This window comes from Homo sapiens, chromosome 15 (assembly GCF_000001405.40).
Source record: "Homo sapiens chromosome 15, GRCh38.p14 Primary Assembly".
Lineage (NCBI taxonomy): Eukaryota > Metazoa > Chordata > Mammalia > Primates > Hominidae > Homo > Homo sapiens.
In genome coordinates, this window is record NC_000015.10 from 61,152,456 (window position 1) to 61,175,515 (window position 23,060).

The window sequence follows — 23,060 nt, forward strand, 5'->3', positions numbered from 1 at the left end:
ATTTATATTTAAATGTTACATAATCATATATATTATAAAATATTATATGTAAATATTATATTGTTAAATATAGTTCAAATCTAGAAAAAATATTCTATTGTGTTTCACTTATTCATTCAACAAATATGTACTAAATCCTTTTGTGTGCTAAGTACCATTCTAGGTGCCGGGGCATTTAGTGAACAAGAGATCTTTCTGCCCTTATAGAGCTCACATTTATATAAAAATGAAGCCTGGAAAGCAACTTTTTAGGACATCTCTCTAAGCATCCATCCATCCACAGACTCAAAGATATTTATTAGGTAACTACATCATGCCAGGCTTTAGGTTAAGCTGGGAGAAAATCAAGAACCTAAGATGCAAGCACTTGTAGATAAATAAGCAACTCCCTACAGAATAATGCAGGTCTGGACAAAGCACTGTGGACAGGCTGCTACTCCTTTAAATGTAGCTCACTGAAGAGCTACTTTCATGGAGGTACGGACAAAGCATTGTGGACAGAGGGGTGATCAATGTTCTTCACATTTTAGAGGAAGACAAGTCACAATTGAACTGGCCTTTGAAGGGTGGGTAGGTGTGTACCAGGTCAACTAAGGGGGAAAAGGTGTCCTGATTGATAATCCTATCAGAAAAAAAGTCACGAGAGTACACAGAGGGTTGGACATCCACAAGAAGCCCTGGAGCCTGCAGCACTAGGTAGGGATTGGAAGGAGAGGATTCCGGAAAGGCAGGTTGGAGCCCCAAGGAGCTGGTCTCAATGTCATGTCCAGGAGTTCGCCCTTAACCTGCAGGAATGGCAAGATGAACCCATTTTTAGTAAATATCTGGTTCAATTAAGGCTACACCATGTATACCTAAGTGGGGTGGGATGGTTTATCCCTCAATGTTTTGATTCTCCTCCAACTCCAAAACCAGTGAGGGAAATTTTACTAATTATTACTAAGAAAGGACATGGGAGTGTGAATGGCACAGGCTGGACAGAGCCCAACACATTCAGAGAGAGAGAATTTTCTTCCTTTCAACAGCTGCATCCAGTGAGCAGCTGCTAACCCACTCATAGTGCCAGAGAGACTCAGTGGGTCTGATGGCTGTTAACGGGCTTTATTACCTTGTTGAGTACCTCAAACTCCAGTTACTAATTACAGGGCATCGACTTGAATGTTTGGCTATATAATTTTTGTTAATTGATTTGCATGAGGGGATTTGGGCATGATCAGCTGTAAATGTTCTTCCGGCTCTAAAACTCCATGACTCTTCTCTATTGCTACATGCATCAATAATGACCTTGTGTATTTTGGATTGTGGGTTTCATGCACAATTGCTAAGAACCCTTCAATTGCTAAGAACCCTCAGGAGCAAAGTTGTTATGCAAGGGCACACAATGACATGGAGGCCCAGGCCGGAACAGGACGCAGCCATTATCATTCATGCTAGCTAGCATTTATTGATCTCCTATCAAGAAACAGATTTGGTAAGGCCAAGCCACTTCTAGCCATTTAGACACCTTGCCTGCAGTGGGCTCACACAGCTTATAGACACGAAGCAGGTGGTTCTGCTTGATTAGTGAATCTCAAACCCTTATATCCTGCACTTCCTAGCCAAATCCTTTCTATATTTCTCCTTCACTTTCCAATACCAGGTCTTTAACTCACCCCTTTTCTCATGCCCAGTTCACCCTTTAACCTCCCCAAATCCACATCTCATTTTGAAGGCATTCCTCCCCACCAACAACATTACTCTTTGGGGTCTTTGACTGACATTCTTTTTCTTGGCATTTCCTATTTGTGGGATGAAAAGGGGTACAAAAGTAAAGGCCAAGATAGGAAGGACCCACAGGTAGGCTGATTCAATATTTACATACCAGACTTCCCTGAGACCATCAGCGAACTGCTGGTAGACCAAGCAGTTCACACTAACTCTCAGAGCCATAAGCCTTTCTAATGCCCTGGCTTTCAAGGTGAAAAATACAATTACTAAGAACTGTGAGCCACAGCACTCCATTACCAACTGAGCTTCCGGGCAAGAGATCCTTGGAAAAATCTCTGTAGTGGAAACAAGTGATTCTCAGTCACAGACAGGTCACAGATCTACGTGACCTGTCATCCAGATGGGTCATGAGCCATTTGTTGCTAAGAGTAGTACAAATTTTAAAGTTTCAAAATAATTAAACTTTACTTCGTAAATTACAGGAGATTCAAGGTTATCATACAGTCAAGTCCCTCTCCCAGCCCTGCATTCTGGTATGTTTCATCAAGTGGGAAGGAAAATGGTGGTCTTAGAGCTAGGGTACCCATTGTGTCTTTGCCTCAGTGTGAGTGTGTGTTCCACATGGAAATGTTATTAGGGCAGTTGTGGCAAAAAATACACACTGACACCGTCGGCTGGCTCAAGAATAGAGAGTGGGCTGAGAAATGGGAAAAACAATGGTTCTGCCTCTCGCATTGTGAAAGGGAGGTCACCCGGGCAAGGAGTATTTCTTTGGGCACAGATGCAGAGATTATCACGTTCCCGGATCCAGATGTTCGAAGAAAGTTACAGTTAGACAGGACAAATACATTGTGGAGTTCTAATATACAGTATGGTGACTGTAGTGAATAACAATGTGACTGGCACTTGGTATATTTCAAGACAGCAAGAAGATTTTAAATGTTGTCACCACAAAGAAATGACAAATGTTTAAGGTGATGGACATGGTAATTATCCCAGCTTGATCATTATACAATGTATACATGCATTAAAACATCACACTGTGTCCCGTAAATATGTACATTATGTGTCACCTATTAAAAATTAATTTAAAAAGATGAATATCAGCATGTTACTTCAAAAATAATTAAAAATAAAATTCCATTAACCTTCAAATAAATACTAAATAAATAAATTTAAGGTGATTTTCTATAGCTAAAGAAAAGATAGAAGAAATACATCTTCAGGCATATAAATCTTAAATCTTGAAACTAGCCAAATCCAACTCAAGAGAAAGCACCAAAGGGGTTTATATTTTGAGAAGGAAAAAACAGTGTGAGGAAAACAGAAGGTTAATGAACAAAGCTAGAAGAGTTGCCCGGTTTTCCCTTTTTAAATACGCCCTAGCTGTTTGGGGAGTTGTGGCCGCAGCCATGGGAAGATCTTTGGAAGATTCCTTGGGCTATCAGGCAACAGAGACCGATCAATGGGAAAGATTAAGCAAAATAATACACTTGTCTATGATGCCTGACAAATTCTGTCTCATCTTCAGCTGTGAGGGGAAAAAAAATAATAGTTTCCTCCAATAACATTAATTACCCAACCACAGAAGAAACTTGACAAAGGCTGATGATGTGTTTACAAACAGCAAAGCTGGTGAATCACCAGGCCCAGATCCAAGGATTCAGATACCTCAGAACCACAGCTTTCTCCTTGCCACACTCCAGGTGGAAGGAGACCCCGCGTTTCAACCCAGCCAAGGCAGGAATGCACACACGGGCACTCTGGACTTTGTGTTCTGGAAAACGGGATTATACAGAGAAGACACCGTTGACGTCTCAGAACCCAACAGGCTGGGTGTTAATCCAGCTGTAACCATTCACTCTCCTTGCACATGACTTTTCTGGAAGATAGTCCCTGAAATTTTGCAGAAGAAAAAAAAAATCTCATGATCTGCTCAAAAGCCAAAGGACTGTTCCTACTCTTTACTGGGTGAGAAGCCAGTTCCTTGTCACTTCTCTTTCTTTTTTTTAAGAGCATAAAGCAGAGGAAAAGAGAGGAAAACAAGGGGGGAAAAGTTTGAAGATATGTATTAAGATATGTTAAAATCTGTTCCTGTTGCCATTTTAGTATGATTCTAGATTTTTTGTTTGTGTTATAATTTTTGCAAATGGTCCAATAGTGTGGAAAAGGAGGCTGCCTGAGATAGTCGGTTCCTTGAGTTGTTTCTTTTAATCAGAAAAGAAGAAACAAGCAGTTTCCTTTCTGCCCCCACAGGCCGGCACCCCTACAGTACATGAGTCATAAAATAGCTCCTGGAAGAGCCAGTTCCATCAAGTCTTCTCAGCAACTCTCCATTACCTTCCCCAGAGACCTGGAGAGATGGCGCCAGAGAACAGCCCAGCAGGAATCTGTGGGAGTGAAAAGCAAACAGGAAGCCTGAGACCCTAGGAGGTAGAAGCACTCTGAGAAGGAGGAAAGTTCTGGAAGCTACAGCATTATAAGAGCCATCCTTTAGGGTATAAAGATGAAATACAGCAAAGGCTTGGAAACAGAAAGACCCTTAAAACTTGACGTCTTCTCCAGACTCCCCCATGTTATAAGAGATGTTAAATCTGAGGTGAAAAGAGGTTAATAAATTTGTCAAAGTCACACTTTTATAACTTAGTACTGGCCCATATCAAGGATTTGCTTTTTCAAAGGATTTTCCAGGTTGCAAAATATGGCCAGTGCAGATTCAGCCCAATACCATCTATCTTTTGTAATGAATGGTGAGAAGGATGTTCATCTTGAAGAACCTGGGTACTGCCAGAGCCTCCAGTTCCTTCTAAATCAGCCAAACAATAGTTTGATCAACATATTTTCAAGGTAGAGTATAATTTATCCTTTTCCAAGCTTCAGAAAACCAAACAACCCTGCATGGTACATGTAGTAAATCTGAAACAGAATATTTAATTAAGGTAGCACACGGCACATGGTAGGTACTTAGTAAATGTTCGCAGGATGAAAAAAGAATGACCAAAACCAAGTATTTTGACCAAGTGAGAATAGATTATATCCTCTGAACCATTAAGTTTTGACACCTCTTAGGGAAATAAAAATAGCCCTTTTGGCATAAATGTAGGCAACATCATGAATATTGAAAGGAACTTTCAATCCAGAGACCTCTGTGTTGGGCATGACACCCAACTAGCTGTGTGATGGTAGGGAGGTAGGTTAACTCTTCTGAGTTTCAGCTAAACATAAAATGTTAAAAAATACCTTTTAAAGTTAATGGGTTATTTGTGTAAACTAAGTGATATAGTGAATATGAAACTACATTTATAAAGTTTAAAATACTGGACTCAGCTAGGTATTTGCACTACACAGATACAATATATTTGATCCTCACAGCCGTTTGTACCCAGCTTACTTACCCCATTGTTCTCCAGGAGCCAAGATTTAAGGGACAGCCCTCCTCACCATGTGCTGGCACAACGAAAGGCACTGGGCACACACAGATAAGACAAAGAAAAAAATCTTTGCGATTGATTTTAAGCAGCTCTCTCCCATTAGTGTATATGTTTTAAAGGAATCTGATTCTCTTTACATCTAGCTGAGTGACTGGCCCTAGTTTCGTGACTGCCACACAGTAGGCTGTTATTAAATGACTGTTAAATAAATCGATAAATAAATGTGTTCATGGTGGAAGGAATGAAAACAAACCCAGCATTGGGATAATCGCCCCATCCCTCAGACCCAGATTAGTAAAATTCCATAATATGCAAAGCTGAAGAGAGCAACAGAGTCGGGCCTCTGAGGTATGTGTATGTTCCTCAGCTGGAGCCAAATCCCAGACCCTGGAGAGCATGGAAAGCCACAGTTCAATTCATGAGAGGACGTGCCAAAGCCCAACCCCAGCTGCACACTGACTTGTCGGAAAACTTACCAAATTCCCTTTCAGAAGGGTTTGCTGTGACCACTATCCCAAATGGAGTGTTGGTCACATGTCAGACTTGGACGCCAAGTCCTTGTCCACAGAGTGTGGGATGAGCAATTCCATCCTGACAGATGTGATCCCTGGAGTGCTCGAAGTGACAGTGTGGAGTTTTCCACTCCTCCAGACAGCGGGCAAATATGTGCTGATCTGACTTGGCTTAAACGAAGACCTGACAGCCTTCTCCTCTCTGGAAGTGTCATCTCAACTGGAGATCAGCCAGGATGTCTTTGCAAGTTGTGGGTTCTCAACTTTCTAGAACTGGCGGGGGCTGGGAAATCTGCAGCATTAATTGGATATGAACTTTTCATTCCTCCTCCAAGCTGGCTAATGTTGGTCAAAGGCATATGATGTTTAACCTATTTTATGTCTAAATGGCTACATAGCTCATTACTTCCTAGGTGGCTGCCAACCTTTGCCTTTATTGAATAAACAATTTTTGAGCACTTGCTATATGCCACCCACTCTTCTAGATTCTTTACAAGTGTCCACTTATTTACTGCTCATCCGCTCCCCCGAGGTAAGTACTATTATTTCCCTCAGTTCGCAGATGTGGTAATAGAGACCCAAAGAGGCTCAGAAACTGTTCCTGGTCTGGATTGTTGCGGGAGCTGTCGTGTCAGCTGAAACAATATTTGATGAAAGACTGTGCACTTTGGAGAATAAAATGGCTCTGTTCCTCTTCAGGAGTGAGTCATTCTGAAGCACGTTCTATGGCATTTAAAGGATGAAGGCAAGGATGAAGTGGGGAGGTCCGCAAGGAAAAGTACATTGGGAATATTGCATTCACATCTGCACCTTTAACCAAGGACAGAGGATATCAAGGGAAGTACACATTCATGATGTGGTAGGATCTTTTCTCAGATTCAATCTTAGTCATTTTACGACTAGACCTCAATAAATCGCAAGCATGGTGTAACATATATAAATATACAGCTAGACATAGGTAGATATAAATAGATAGACATAACTAGACAAATCAGACTCTGATTTAAGAACAACTTCCTACCCTTTGTTAACTGGAAAATAATCAGCTCTCATAGATCCTCCTACACAGAATGAAAGGGGGTTACTTAGCCTATATCAAGAGTCCCATTTATCAGCCTTTTTGAAGGAAATGCCACACCCCTTCGAGACACATCTCTCCCTATAAAGAAGCAGCTTTGCCTTTCCTATTTACCCATCTACCCTTGCTGAACATCATTAAAACATTAAGCCATCATTTAACCTGAGAGATAAAATTTAACCCTGAAAATGTACTTCCAATTTTTTTTACTTACCAGCTTGTCACCCACAGCTAATCCCTTTCTTCCATCAGAAACCCTTGTCAAAAACTGATGGTTATTGCATGCTAATTTCACCACAAATACCTGATCTGAATTCTAAGTAATTAGCAAATCAGGTAACCTGTGAGATGCTGATCTTTTTTTATAACTACAAAAAAGCTTGTCACGGAGGATATTTTAGTTCAAGAACATTTCCAATCAGGAAACCTAACATCGTGTTCCAAAATACCACACTGTATTGCATTCATACATTTAGGTGACATATTGACTGTGGATAATAATGTACCTTTGCGGCAATCACACTGCATTTTGAATGTGCAATGGCAACGAGGTGTGCATTATGTATGTTTTACCAGTTTGGGCAGCTGCCCATAAATAGGGATTAGCTATTACCAAATTCATTTTGTGAGGTTCAGTTTCCTATTGTGAATGAAAAGCATTTGTTTGCTCAACTAGAAATATGTATGTGTACTGAGAATTTTCATTTTGTGAGGATCTGAAGATGGGTACACTCAGATGATAAAAGAAAATTCCCACATAGTTCTGAAAATCAAACGATTGGGTAGTGGACCCTGGGATAGAAGATGACTCATTCCAGTTCCTTCTCTGCGATCACCAGGTGTGTGACCTCAGTTTCCTTACCTATAAAACAGGAATGCAAATAAACACCTACATCAAAAGGTTGTTGAGAAGAATAAAAGAAATGATGTGACAATGTTATACAAACTTAAATCAACACTCCACATAAGCTCTCATGTTCCTGGCACGAAGCACTAATCCAAGAACTGACAGGACCTACTTCAAACAAACAAAAAATAACAGCAAAGTTGCATAAACCTGCTTCCATTACTGATGCTCATAAAGCGGTTCCCTGTTTATAGATACTAGCTTATTAGGTCTATAGCCTACAGTAGTATACGTAAAGTAACTACGAGGTGAGAAGGATAACTTTTTTATAATTTACAAGTTCATGTTACATTACACATTTTCACAGCATTGCTGTTTTAATGTTGAACCACATTTCACACTATAGCTATCTTATTGAGCTTTAATATTCAGTAAATATGTTTATTCTTATTAGAATTTCAAACAAATATAAAAATCTCTCGAAAAACAGAATTCTGCAAATGTTAAGCATGAAACAACGGCGAAGAAGGGGACTTTGCTGAGAATGCCATGAGAACCTGATGCTTGCCCATAGCTGGTGCTCAGTGCCTGCTTGATGAAGAAATGGATGAGTGAATAAACTATAGAGGTGATAAGAAACATAGTGGCAAGTGGAGAATTTCAGAACTGCATGCTATTTTAGAGCTATCATAATTGATCACAGAAAAGATGGAGAATTCTCTGGGAAATATTAGGGGGTTATGAAGAGAGCTGTCTTCACAAACGAAGACATAAAAGTCACAATGCAGAGTGAACACAAAGAAAATTCTTTTTATTTCTTCACTGAGACCCAACCAATCATTTGCCCAATGAATGAAGGTTTCCCATGGAAATCTGGGAAGAATGTTTCTGGGGCAAGTACCAATCTATCAAACCCACTTTGCACTGGGGCAAGCACGGATGTTTGGAGACGAGCTCCCATTAAAAGCCAATTGTATTTCACTGAAGCAAAAGGACAGGGGATTGGGTGCATTTGGGAGGCGGAGGGGGTCTGACAAAATAGGGGTCATCTTCTTACTCAGAAGCCCAATATGTAAAACAGGAAAAGGCTGAGTTGCTCTGACTGAAGCAATGGGAGGAGAGATGATGCTGGAGCCAGAAGGATTGTGGATCCCATATGAAGTCTCAACTCCATGGTCCCCCAAGCAGTGGGAACACTGCTCTTGTGGACTATCTTTCTGAATTTTTTTGAGAGCTTTACAGTAATATAGGGCAGAAGAGCAGCAGCAGTCACCTTGATCCAGGGTTTGATTTTATTTAGGCAGTATGATATAAAATCGGAAGAATTTGCGTTTTGGATTTGAGAGACCTGGGTTCAAATGCTGGCTCTGCCATTTTCCAGCTACCTGGGCAAGTGCTGAACCTCTCTGAGCTCAGTTTTGTCTTCTGCAGAACAAGAATAAGTAACATCTATCTCACAGACTGGCTGGGAGAACGTAATGAAATAATGTATGCGCATTCACATAGCATGTGCTCCATAAATGTCAGTTTTCTCCTCTTCCCATCTTTTCTTAATGTTTTATTGTTTTGACTGTTCTTATCTCCACTACTGGGCTTGGGTGCACATAACTACAAAAATAGAATCTCAAAAAAAAAGTTCTTATCTAGTATTTGAATCTTTAAACAGCAAGCAACTTAGATTGTAGATAATTTGAAGATGCTAATTACAGGCAATTTCTTCTCATAGCCAATATGAAGTGCAAATCTATTAGTCTAAAGACATATTTATCTTCCCCCCGTGAAGGCCACTTAAAAACAGAAACTCATGGGGTCCAAATAAAAATACAATGATATACTGTGGCAATAGTTCAATAAATTATGGTATAATCACTATGAACTGTATATGCAGCCACTGAAAATCACGTTTTTGAGCCATTTTTAATCACGTGGCAAATGCATAAGATATTTGATGCAAAAGGCAGAATGCAAATATCCAAAAATAGAAATGTAGATATATACACACGTTAAAAGTGGTCCTAAAAGTGAATATTTTATTGTTATTGTTTTCTATTCCAAAATAAGCATCTACTTTTGCCTACAGTCAGAAAAAAACGAAAAATGGCCTTAAAAATATTTCACAGTAAAGAAATGATATAGCTGTTATGATCTGTAACGAATGTTCTTTGCAGTGTAATGTGTAACTTTCCCCTGCTGTAGGCATCCATATAAAAGTGTCTTGGATCATCACTATTCCCACAGAAAGATGTGTCTGGTAACCACATGATCTGGTCCTCGGTCCTGGGTCATTACAGTGGTCATGGTTTCAAATGAACTAAAACATTTTAAAAAGCAAAAGAAGAAATATCTTAGTCCGTATTTTAATAGACTTTAGCCTTGACAAAAGGCCACACACGAAAGCACCCACAAGGGCTCCTGTTCATGGAGGAGATGCTGCCAGTAGGGGCATTTCTGGTGCTAACAGTGGTCTTGGTGAGGGACTCTACCAACTGTGAGTAACATAAGGGGGAAAGGTGACAGCCGTCCATGGCCCTCTCTTTTAGCCCTGACATTTAAAAATAATTTTTATAAATTAATAGAATTCTAGATCTGGCTCAACCCAAACCAGCTGCCTCTTACTACGGCTAAAGAAACCAAGGTAGGAAAAGGTTAAGTGTTTTATTAAATATCTATGGACCCACAGTTAGCAAAAGAGCCGAGACCATAAATGAAGTTTCCCAACACACAATCCAATCCTCCTTCACTTACCTAATAACTACTTTGGCCAGCTCAATAAATGGGCTGTCTGTGACCAGTTTCCAGCTTCTTACAAGTCTTCAACATAAAACTGGAAACAAGGCCACTATTACTGGGGAATTTGGCAGAACACAGAATTGTTGTATGCTACATTTAATAGGGTCAGAGCAGGTCTTGCCACCTATGCGTCACTCACCGCACTCAGCAGAACGATTCATAAGGTGCAAGGACCTGATTTATGTTGGGTGATAAGTCAATGAATGAATCAATCAATGCCAATGGCTCCAAGTGGCAAGAGAAACACACTTAACTTAGTAACACATCATGATTTCCTTCCATCTATTTTAGTGGGGTTTTTAAACATTCTACTTGCTGTTTTCCAGTTAACTATCTATTTCTCTGTTTATCTGTGTGTGGATACATTTGCATCCATCAGTTACTTTAGTATCAATATGCCAAATCATGGAAGGCCACATAGAAATTAAATGGACAAGGGGTCTGGGTCCCAGAGCAGAGCCTAAGAGGATCCGTGTTCCAGGAGACACCAGTTGGTCAGGGCAAATAGAACACTAGCGATCAGCGTCATGATGAGACGGGGCACCTAGCAATATCTATTCAGAGGCAAGTCAGTTTTCCAGAAGACATAAATTCTGCCAGGTAAAGGCCTCCTCTAGAGGGCAGGACATGTATAAGGTTCTGGAATCTGACAAATTAGACAAAGCAAGAAAACACCACCAGCAGCCAACACATAGACCTGAGTCTAATTGTCAGATAAAAACAATTCAAGATTCGTACTTCCTACTAAAGAAGGGGAGCCGATGAGGGAAGACACGAAATTGAGACCAGATACGTGCCAAGCAGGGCACACAGGTGACATCGAAGCAGTGGTAGCTGGTCAGAGAGGAGTCACAGCTGCTGATCTGCTCAGGGGCAATGACAAATTCCACAGAGTTTGTCACAGGAAATCTGGTGTCATCTTCTCATCTCAAAACCATCACACAGCTCGCACACAATCACACACCATTCACTGAGAGCCTTTTACACACAAAGGACCACACTGAGCTCTTAACATGCCATTTATTTCTCCAAAAAGATTGTTGCCTGCATGATCCACATAGAGAAACCTAAGCTTGGCTTAGATGAAACCACTTACCCAAGGTAACACAGCAAGTGATATAGAGGGATTTAATCCAAATTAGTCAGATCACTGAGTCTGGGCTCAATAAACTGTTAGATAGTTTAAACACCTATGCAACCAAAAAACCCCAAAGCACACACAAGATCTTACAACTGGAGGTTTCATCTCTCAAGAGAGTGTAGGTGTCTGTGCATCAATGGTACAGCCAATAGGTGAGCCCAGGTGTCTCAGTGGCCTGTATCAAAAAAAAAAAAACATGTGGAGCCTGTAGTCTTAACTACGTATTAATGGGTACTTTTTCTGACTTTGAGTATAAGGTTTCATCAGCACTTTAGAGATATTTTCCACATTTGCTGTCTCTCTGTAGTGTCCAAACCCATAAATTACCAGCAGCGGCTGGCAGGCTGAAAATTTTCATATGTGGTAAGACCACTCTACTCCAGGCTTATTAGAAAGATTGGGAGTGAAGGATCTGTGGAATCTTTAAAAAGTAAAAAGCTTGTTTTTCCTGAACAATCAGGTGTCATTGCTTTTTTATCAAGAATAGTAACACAAACCTAAGCAATGCAACCATTGCCGTATACAGGTCCTGCTTGTATGAAAAGGCTAGAACGGTTTGCAATTAGGACAGCAGTTGTATGCTCTTAAATACCTACAAGCCCTTTGTTCCTGTTGGGTAGATCATATGAGCTCTGGATGAACTTGCTCCAGCAAAGCCCTTTCCTCCTGAGCAATGCTAGTTACATCTTTTTTTTTCTCAACCTCTGACACAGTTATCACAAATTCTGCATCAGTAAGGTCTAAATTAACACTATGTTCTGTACCAGATCTGCAGATTATATAGAAGGCTACTGTTAAGGGCTAAAGAGATCTGGAAGCTGAAAGACTGATTTTTGAAAAATTAAGAGAGGTATGGAGGGATAACAGAAAAAATATAAATGTTCCAGGTAATTAGAGAGCACTTTCCAAGAAGCACCACAAAATTGCAAGTGCCCATCAATACTAAAGAATATCATGCTGTTGACAGCACAGCAGAGAACCTTTTCAAAGACAGATCGGCAGCTTTACCCAAAGCACCCTTCACCCTGCACCACCTACCCCTCTCCTGTGGCTCCATCACACCCTCCAAAGCTCCTACTGAGAAGAAGGCATCCTGCTTCTCTCTGTAGGTTCCCCTAGCAAACCCCAAAGAATAAACTGCGTAATTGTGAAATACAGAATCTGTGTGTGAAAAAACACTTGTTTCATTCTTTTCACCTTCCTGCTGCCTCAACACAGGGAGTATCTTCCCCACGTCAACACCACACCAGGCATCTGGGGGCATAAGCCAGTTTTCCACGAGATTTGGGCTAGAAATATTTATTGTGGCTGCAACTCCAACTGTCATCCATTCGGATTACTTCTTGCAGGAATCATAGCCCCATCTTCTCAACAGTTCAAAAGTGGCTGTGTGTATCCAGCTCCCCTCTTTATTTCCAGAGCATTTCTGTGATTTTAGAGCTGCTAAGCCTCACCAAAGTCAAGTCCTTTATCTAATTCCCTCTTTTGATCCAGTGTCTTTATCCTAGACCACGGCCAGTGGTTGGTGGGTTTCAAAACTCTTTGTCTTTTTTCTGTAGAACTTTTACCCTAAAGAAATTCCATTCTAAATGCCAATATGTAAAATAGATCAAAGGCTTGATTAGAAGAGAGTTGGAGAGCTGGGGTCCCACCAATCCCCAAGGATGGGGAACCTGAGGGTTCTGTGGATCACTTGAGAGTGGAAACACAGGAACATGACTAGGGAAAGGAGGGGTTCACAGAAATGAAAGAGGGGCAAACAACATCCCACTTTAAACATGAAAGCTGAAAATCTTCAACCCATTCTTAGTTGCACAGGGCATGTGGAAATCTCAAACACAGAGGCCTGCCTTACAAACATTAATAATATCTACCCCTTACTCCAGACACTTGCAGAGACCTCATTTAATCCCCACAACTACTATCTGTGGTTTATAGATTTTCAGCTTACAGATACAAAATGTGAAGCCCAGGATGATGAAGTAACTTGTCCAAGGCCACATAGACCTAAGTGGCAGAAGTCTGACCTGAGCTCGATGTGGGACTCTGAAACCTTTACTCTTAATGCATGCAGGGCTGCCATCAGGTGCAAGATTTTCAAACTCTTCTGAGTGGGGGGCATCAGCCCAATGAAAGGATATTCCAGTATGTGGAAGAGAAATGTAGCAAACGTAAAGACTGATGCCATCTTTCACTTTTTTTTTTAAAAGACTGAAACATTTCAAGAACTCTTTCCTTAAGAGGTTACTGAGGACCTCGATGAAGATGCAAGAAAGACACTGACAGTATTCACGATCTATTAAACTGACCAGTTTCTACTAAATACCTACAACATGCCCAAGCACCAGAAAGACACAGATGAACATGTCTCTTGGAATACCAGAATAATTTCCCCACGTCAGCCTTGTGAATCTGTTTAGAGAGGAGGGCCCAGGGACAGCAATAGGAATAAAAACATGAACAGACACAGAACAGGAGCAGGCAGAAGAACAGAAGAAAAGGGATGAGGCAGGAGAGGAGTAGTTAATCTTACACAACATTTGGACTTTTCAAACGTAATTGCACATCCATTGACAACCGTTATATCACCTTATATTTACCCAGTGCTTTTTGTTTGAATCTCACAGCAGCATGATATTATAGGAAGGGGAAATATAAAACCAAGTTTTACAGCTAAAGAATATGTGGCCTCAGAGAGGTCATCTTTCCAAAAGTCACAGAGGGAGTCTCCCTCTGTTAGAGGGAGAGCCAGAGCTAGGATCTGGACCTCAGGACTCCTAGCACAGTGCTCATCCCACCACACAGAGCACTACTTGTGAAGCAGAACATACCCTTTACATGTTATCCACATGTTATCCACAGCTACAATGCTTGCCAGTGGCCAGCATGGTAATAAAGACTCCATTCTCATGTACATCTCCATAATTAGATTACTTTTCCCCATCCTCATCCCCACAACCTACTCACCAACAATTATCTGAGCCCAGCTATGCTCACCCCTTCTTAAGACCTGCCCTCTCTGGAATTACAGTAGACAATGACAAAGAAGTTGTAGTTGCCAGATGTCTCAAACTGCAGTGACACACATACACAAAATCACAGAATCGGCTGCACCCCTAATGCTTCTCTGTTCAAAATCCAGTTCTTCTTGTAATGACATCTAATCAGGCCCTGGAATCAGCTGAAACGAGAGCTTCTGTAAAAATCACTCTTCACTCGGTACTCAGCAGTTAAGTCTCTTAAATGTCAACCTGCTAGGAATTACTTTAAAAGATTTTTTTTTCCTTCATTACAAATCTCAAAGCTATTGAGTCTTTTCAACTTCCAGATGGATCCTGATATTCATATAGTCCAGAAAATGACAATGTTCTTTGTCTGCTAGGTTTGAACAATTTTGAGTTACTTAAAGAATGTGTCCACATTATTACAGACACTCAGGTTAATAATAAACATTGAGATCCTTATCCAGATATTTATAAGCCTTTAGAACTCTTTAAAGGATGCAAATAATTTGACCAGGATTTTTTTTTTTTTTTTTTTTTTTTTTTTTTTTTTTTTTTTATGAAGAAATTTCTCTACAACCAGGACTCTGGCTAAATCCATTAGCCCTACAATTTGGCTATGTGACCACCAGGTGGTGACAGTGTGCCACAATTCAGGACCAGCAAGGTTGGCATCAGGGAGCTTTCCCCACACTTATGTTGAAAACCAACCTTTCAAATTTAGATCTCACTTAATCCCCTGCCACATTTAAGGTGTTACTTTTAATACAGCATCTCAACCACCACCTCTGGGTTAGGTCCTTCATAATCTGTAGAACCGAAATCTTTTAATGTGGCATTCAGGACCCTCCAAGGTGGTCCCACCCCACCCACCACTCTCCTACACAGTCCCTGTATTACAGCCACACTTCAATGCATGTTTCCTGCACATTCACACAGATGCAAAGATGGTTCTAACATTTCTTGCTTCTGTATATTTGCTCTTGGGGATATCCCCTGATGTTCACCTACCTTTTCAGGCACCTATAAAACATCTGGAAACTTGCTCAGACAAAACTCCACCAAACAGTTGTAAAAGCCCAGAGTTCTACTAGTATTTAGGAATATGCTGAGTGTTGTTTCCTGTAGAAAACTTGTAATGTATATATATAATATATATTAAAAACATACATATATACACATATATACATACATATACATATATATGTAAATCATTACATATATACACATATATACACGCGCGTGCGTGCGTGCGTGTGTGTGTGTGTGTGTGTATGTATTTTGAGACGGAGTCTTGCTCTGTTGTCCAGGCTGGAGTGCCGTGGCGTGATCTTGGCTCACTGCAACCTCCACCTTCTGGGTTCAAGCGATTCTCTTGCCTCACCCTCCCTACTAGGTGAGACTACAGGTATGCACCACCATGCCCAACTAATTTTTGTATTTTTACAAAATTACAAAATAGTAATTTTGTAATTAGTAGAGACAGGGTTTCGCCATGTTAGCCAGGCTGTTCCCGAACTCCTGAGCTCAAGTTATCTGCCCACCTCGGCCTCCCAAAGTGCTGGGATTACAGGTGTGAGCCACTGTGCCTGGCCCTTGTATTATATATTAATCTTGATATTTTTAGGATAAATAAAAACGTGTGTCTTAATGAGCGCTAGATCACATAACCTGCCTTATCTACTTAGCTATTTCTCTTGAACATCTTTCCTTGTCATTAAATGATACATGAAGCGTTTTATGGTTCCCCTCACCAGGAGTCTGCTCAGTCTGGTGGACAGTATGCTGGGCTTGAAATCAAAACACCGAGATTCAGTCCTAGTTCTAGCAGGTGCTAGCTGTGTTTGGGCAAGTTGTTTAACCTCTCTGAGCCCAAGCTGCATGGGTGTAATGCTTACCTCCCAAAGTCTCTGACAGCCTAAATGAGATCACTCATCTGATCATTTCTAGCTTGGAACCTGCCTTGGAGTGACCTCTCAATTATTACTCATTTCTATCCACTCAGTTGATGTGATTTCTTTCTCCCTCCAAGCCACACCACTCTTTGTACCTTCCTGTGCCTCCATCCTGCTGGATCTCACCTTAAAGGAGCTTGGGAACTTGCTGTATTCCCCCTGCCAGAGCATAAGAACACTCCTGAAGGCAGGGCTGGCCTGACTCCTCTGACTGGCCCCAGGGATCCCCTAGCATATGCCAAGTCCCCTGCAGACGCCAGGCATCTGTGGAACTGAATGGGGAATCCAGCCTCCCTTCGCCTTAACCCTTGCCATTCTGGGCCTTGCACTCTTACAGCCCTGTACACAGCTTGGAAAAAAAAAAAAAAAGTCTGGCGTCTTTTAAGGCCCTGGCTTGACGTTGATGCTAAAAAATACTTTCAATCTGGAGCTTGGCTCTTTGGGGTCCCGATGATACCTCTCTGCCTGGTATCCTCTGCCTACAGCTTCTCTCTTGGTGGCCAGCTCTGCCTCCTCTTCTGCAGGTTCCTCTTCTGTGGCAGCAGAGGATAACCTTGTTAAGTGAGAGGAAGAGTGGTACCCCCTCTCTGCCTCCTCCTCACACGGGACGTAAACACCACGGCTTCAGCAGGGAGCTAGTCCATGCTGAGGCCTTCTCCAGCCTTTCTAGCCTTGATGTTTCTTTATTGTTGTCTGTGGCTTGGTTTCGTTTTTCCATTTTCATGAAAAAAAAAAAAAAAAAGCTTTCTTTTCTTGGCCCTTCTTCCAGCAGTTGATTGATTTGCATTGGATGCTGAAGCCACTTCCTGTTTTTCCTTCAAACCCCCCAGCAACTGTCTTCCTTACAAACGGCCTCAGAAAAAAAAGAAACAGCTCACATTCCTGGTACAGGGCACCTGGGAAGAAAAATTCATTGGATTTCATCAGGAAGTATGATGTTCCTTGGGCAGCATCCCAGGGTGGACCTTTCTGTTGACCCTATCAGGATGGTAAAATTGAAAAGAACCCCCAGAAGGCAGTCCTCACTCTGCAGGACACCTACTCCCAGAGGCACCGTGTCCATCATAATAGTTCTAAGCGTGTGTACTAGAATTGGATGTGGGTGTGTTTACTTCTGCACTGCCTCCTAGCTGTGTGACCCAAGGTGAGCTGCTGTGCCTTGCTGATCCCCAGTTTCCTCATTTGTCAAGTGGGTTGAGTCATAAGACTTCCTGTATTGGTTTCCTGTGGCTGCAGTGATCAATTACCATAAATGCAGTGGCTTAAATCAACACAAATCTACTAACTGTTCTGAAAGTCAGAAGTCTTCAAATCAAGGAGTTGGCAGGCTTGTATTTCTTCTGAAAGCTGTAGGGAGAAATCTGTTTTCTTGCGTTTTCTACTTTCTGCAGGCCACCTGCATTCTCTTTGCCCTTTCTTCCACTTTCAAAGCCAGCAGTGTAGCGTCTTCAAATCTTTCTCTTCCTGTTTGTGTGTCCTGTGCTTTTGTCATTAAATCTCCTTCTTTCACTCTGACTCTCCTGCCCGCCTCTTATAAGGACCTGTAATTACACTGAGCTCGCCTAGTTAATCCAGGATCATCTCCCAACTCAAGGTCCTAACTGAATCGCATGTGCAAGGTCGCTTTCCATGCAAGGTAACAGATTGCCAGGCTCTAGGGATTGGGGTATGGACTTCGCTATTTTGCCTGCCATACTTCTCTCATAAAACCATTATGAAAATATAAAAAGAGCATATATGTGTATTTTTCAGCACAATCCTGGCACATTGTAAGTGCTCCAAATATACAGCCATGATTATATCAATATACCAATACCAGCACTAGCAGTCAAAAGAGAAGTGGTTGTTAATGCTTAGTTAGGTAAAGCAGAGCCATTTGGATCAACCTTGAATGAAAGCAAATGGAAGCGTAATTGGGGCTGGATAGTGCACAGACACATCCTTTTACAGTTTCATATCCTCACTCTTCGTTTTAAAAACAAATGTTTACTGGGCACCCTCTAGATACCATACTTTCCATTCCTCACAATAGTCGTTTCTGGTAGATGTTACCGCCTTACTTTACAGGTGACGACAGTAAGACTTAGGTTACACAATTTGGTCAGATTGTTCAGCTGGTCACTAGCAAAGGCAGGATTTGAATTTGCTATTGTCTGATTTAAGCCCGCCCTCTTTCCAGGCTCCAGGACTTGGCGACATGCTGGCTCATACTCACTCTGATCATCAAAACTACACCAGACCTGCCCCACGGGCAGCTGGCACACTTGGCTTTCAGGGCAGAAATCAAGTTCTTGCTTCTCCGGTGTCCTCCACAGCCCTACACCCATCCAGGGGCACACGGTGGGTGGGCTATGCCATCCTTGTGATCTTGCTAGGAACAGGAGAGCCCAATGAGAGGCCTAAGTGCTTCTGGGGCAATGGTTCTCAGCCCTGGCATGTGTCACAATGACCTGGAGAGCCTGCTAAGCCAGACTGTTGGCCCCACCCCCAGAGTTCAGTAGGTCTGTATTTGCATTTCAAATAAGAACCCAGGTGATGCTGATTCTGCTAATCCAGGCCCACACCCTAAGAACCACCCCTCTGCAGGGATCCGGAAGTAAATTTATTAAAGGAGAATACACTGCTCAGATGTGGGGTATTAACACTCACTGGTCCCCACCCACTCCACTTCTGGACTTCTGCAGAGCTGCTAGCCCTACTTGACTAATAATTCCCAGCAGAGGGGCAGTCTCCCCATAACCTATGACACATCGCTCACTTTCCTCCACTGCTCCTGGAGGTGGCCCCCATTGGGAATCTTAGCTTTACTGGCTACATCTTTAGCAGAGAGGCCTGGGTCATCTGTCCTCCCTGTATCTTCAGCTCAGCCAAACAATAAAATGCAAGACACAAAACGTTGCCTTTGAAAATGAGGCAGCTGGGGAGAGGAACGATGCCTTTAAAAGGGCAAAGGTTCTTTGGGACACCGATCCTCAACATCTCACCCTGCAGCTCAAAGTCAAGGCTTGCCAGGGTTCAAGTTCTCAAGTGTGCTTCAGTGGTGTTATTTAGATGTGACCCTATAGGCTGAAGGGCATGCACATTAGCATATTTTGTAACAGCTGTTGATGAAGATGTTAAGTCTTGCTCAGGGGACCAGTTGCAGTGAGAAGCATTTTATGAGAACAATATATATTGTAGACATCTGAATATATTTCCATGAGAAAATAAGGATGAAGAAACAAAAAAAAATGGTATAGTGTCCTTACACAGCAGATGAATATTTAATACACTGGAGCTTATCTTTAAGAGAAAAAAATACCCTTTGCAATTTTTCATGCTTCCTACAATAGCAATCCATATACGAAATGACAAACACTATAGCCACCCATATAAATACCACGTATTTCATTATTCCTTTCTTACGGTGGCACAAAGGCCAGCTGCTACATGAAGTATCATGAAAACATAAATTAGTGGTTATAAATAGCATATTTAAAGGATGAGGCCATCTAAAATCGGTTGGCTTAACAGAGGCCAAGAACAAGTCTGAGGAATTGATAAGACAGGAGGGAAACTCAGGTAGTATATGCAGATCCCAGGACAGCAGCCCACAGATGCTCCACCAGGGGCTCTCAAAACAGAGTTCAAGGGGGATAGGTCTCAGGGCCCCGGAGGAATGATCCTACTTTCAGTTGACCCTTGCCACCTCAGGAGGGACCAATTCAGAGACTGCTTATCACCACTATTTTTAACTTCTTGGCAATATAACCAGTACAATGGGAAAATCGCCCAAAGTAAATACATACTCTCCTTTGATTCTTCTCCTGGAAAGCAGTTTTCTACTATTTTCCGTTAGAATCATTTCCAGGGTAAATCACACTTCAGAGGCAGAGCTTAAGTCTAAGGGTCCCCTAAGGAGCATGTATCCTGGGCTGGGAGGAGCTAAAAAAAAGGCATGTCTTTGCTCTCTGCTGTAGATGCTGTGTCCAAGCAAGTCCTTTGAGAAGCCTCTGCAAGTTTTTCACCTTCAAGCCTCCTGCGTTATTACTATTTCCTGAGTTTTGCTACCAAACAAAATTACCTGTAGTCATATATAATTATTTTTCCATGAGACAGCTTAATATTGATAACATTTTTGTGGTTTTTAAATTTTATTTTATTTTTCCTTTTCCATCTCTCTTTCCTGGTATTAATAACATTTTTGAACATTTTCTTTCTACTAGGCACTGTACGAGGATCCTCTCATGTAATCCTCATCTCAATCCTATGAGCTGGGTACCACTATTACCCCCACTTTATATACAGGAAAACTGGATCACAGCAGTGCAGTAACTTGCTCAAGATCTTGCAGCTTGAAAGTGGTGGTACAAATCTAAAATCCAGATCTGTCTTCAAAGTCCATGCTTTTAACCACTGCACTGTGCAGCCTGAATTCATCCATTCACCATATTATGTTAATACAGTTCCATATTAAAGAGAAAACTGTTTAAACTATTTTAAAACTTAGGAAGGATAAATGCATAACTTGTGTTGGAATTTTTTAAGCACATAAAATAGTTTCAGGCAACCCATTCAGGTCTTCATGGACCCCTAGCTGTCCTGGACCTCACATTAGAAATCACTGACCTAGACCCACCTGAACATCATTTGCCATGTGAATCTTCTAGGTCTGCACAAAACACCTAGTTAAAAATATCGTCTGATGCTCTGGAATAACAAGTCAAATAAAATCAAAATACGGAATGACATTCAAGCCTCTTTTTTTGAGTGTGTGAGATGGGGTCCTGCTCTGCCACCCAGGCTGGAGTGCAGTGGCGTGACCACGGCTCACTGCGACCTCAACCTCCCAGATTCAAGAGATCCTCACACCTCAGCCTCCCGAGTAGCTGGGACTATAGGCATGTGGGGCCTGTGCCACCGTGCCTGGATGATTTTTTGTAGAAAGGTCTACGTTGCCCAGGCTGGTCTCCATCAAGGCTCTAATTAAACTGGTCCTTCCTATCTTTTCAGATCCATCTTCCAGATCTGTGGTATGCACACTGGGTCTGAATCAGCAGGTGAGGGGCCTGGGAATCTGTGCTTTTAGCAAACTCCCCAGGAGACCTTTATTGGCAGAAATTTTGGAAAACATTTCCATCCTGTTCCTGGCCATTCACAAACATGGTAACTCTGACCTCCTGGGGCAACTCACCATTTACAAGGCACATTACCTACTCTCTCAGCTTTCTGCCAGGGCTCAAGCCCATTCTCCAGCCTGAAATGTATGTCTCATGCTTTCCTCCCAGGCCTGGCTCAAAGGTCTCCTCTGGAAAGCCTTCTCTGCTGGCTTCTGTTAGAATCTGTCACGTCCCCCCTGCCCCCACACCACCCAGCTTACATTCTGCCTTCTTCCATAGGGAGCCATTTCCTAGTTTCACCCAGTAAGCTCTTTAAGAGTTAGGCTGGTTCTTACTAACCTTGGCTTCCCCAGCTCTTAGCCAACCACTGGCCATAGAAAATTCTTAATAAGGATCAGCAGATTTAATTTGTCACTGGCAACCGCAAGTAGCCACTGTTCTGGAAACAGACTTCTCCCTTCTCACGCAGCTTATGCCACTGGCAAAAGAGGGGCGGGAAATGTGATCCAGGATTAATAATGCACAGATGTTTCTCAGGAAGTAGTATATCACTGTGTCAAAACTTCCTGTCATAAATTCTGACAAAATATTTTAGTATTTGCATTTGTCATCCTTATCAACCGCTCTCATACATGAAATGGAGCAAATGACTCCTGAGCCTGACTACACCTTCCCAGGCTCCAGTGTAAACCTCAGCCATACAACCCTACATTTTTACCCTGCATCTGTTCCGTAGGGAAAGAGAATTTTACTGATTGCCAGCTAATGTTTATTGCATACTCACTATGTTCCAGAGACTAAAGCCTCCATTCTTATGCATATCTGACCCGCATAATGGCTCTCTAAGGTGGTATTACCATCATTTTCTACATGAGAGCACTGAGCCCAGAGAGGTTAAATAACTTGCCCACAGTTGCACAGCTAGTGAATTTGGGGTTTGAACCCAAATCTGCTTGACTGCAAAGCCCATGTTCTTAACTATTCTACTGGTTTTTAAATAACAAGAGCCTCATGATTTCACAGGGTATAAACAATGACATCAAAATAGAAGTGAAAGAAGGAAAGTCTCTGGGTCTATACTATGGCTAGCCGGAAAACACTATTTCAGCAGTAATGGCTTTGCATCACATAAGTTCACTCTGTCTAGAGCACAGGGATCATCAGGCAAAAGTCCTGGTGGGCAAGCACAGCACTTCAAGATGCCACGAGGGCTGTGTCCATGGTCCTGAAAATTTAGGAAAATTTAGGATTCAAATTTAGGAAATAGTACAAGGCTGCCCAGCCCAGTCCTCAATGAGCACAAATGCCAAGCTGCCTCAAGGGCAGAGTCTCATGAGATTTTACAAAACACAAGGGCCAAGGAGACTAGGGAGTTCCCTCACCTCATTTTCTCATTTTAAAGATAGGGGCCAGGCACGGTGACTCATACCTATAACCCCAGCACTCTGGGTGGCTGAGGTAGAAGAAATGCTTGAGTCCATGAGTTCAAGACCAGCCT

General features: G+C 41.9%; 1 protein-coding gene across 2 annotated transcripts in view, besides 1 other annotated feature; it reads right to left on the minus strand.

Annotated features, from left to right (window-relative positions):
* Window positions 1-23,060, minus strand: part of RORA (RAR related orphan receptor A) — a 741,019-nt gene that overhangs the window by 664,172 nt on the left and 53,787 nt on the right. The window lies entirely within an intron of this gene.
* Window positions 21,078-21,578: an enhancer, noted in NCBI's record as "H3K27ac hESC enhancer chr15:61465732-61466232 (GRCh37/hg19 assembly coordinates)". NCBI's record gives its function as "activates a minimal SCP1, AML or CMV promoter by ChIP-STARR-seq in primed H9 embryonic stem cells {active_cell/tissue: H9 hESC(primed)}" and the evidence as "EXISTENCE:reporter gene assay evidence [ECO:0000049][PMID:30033119]".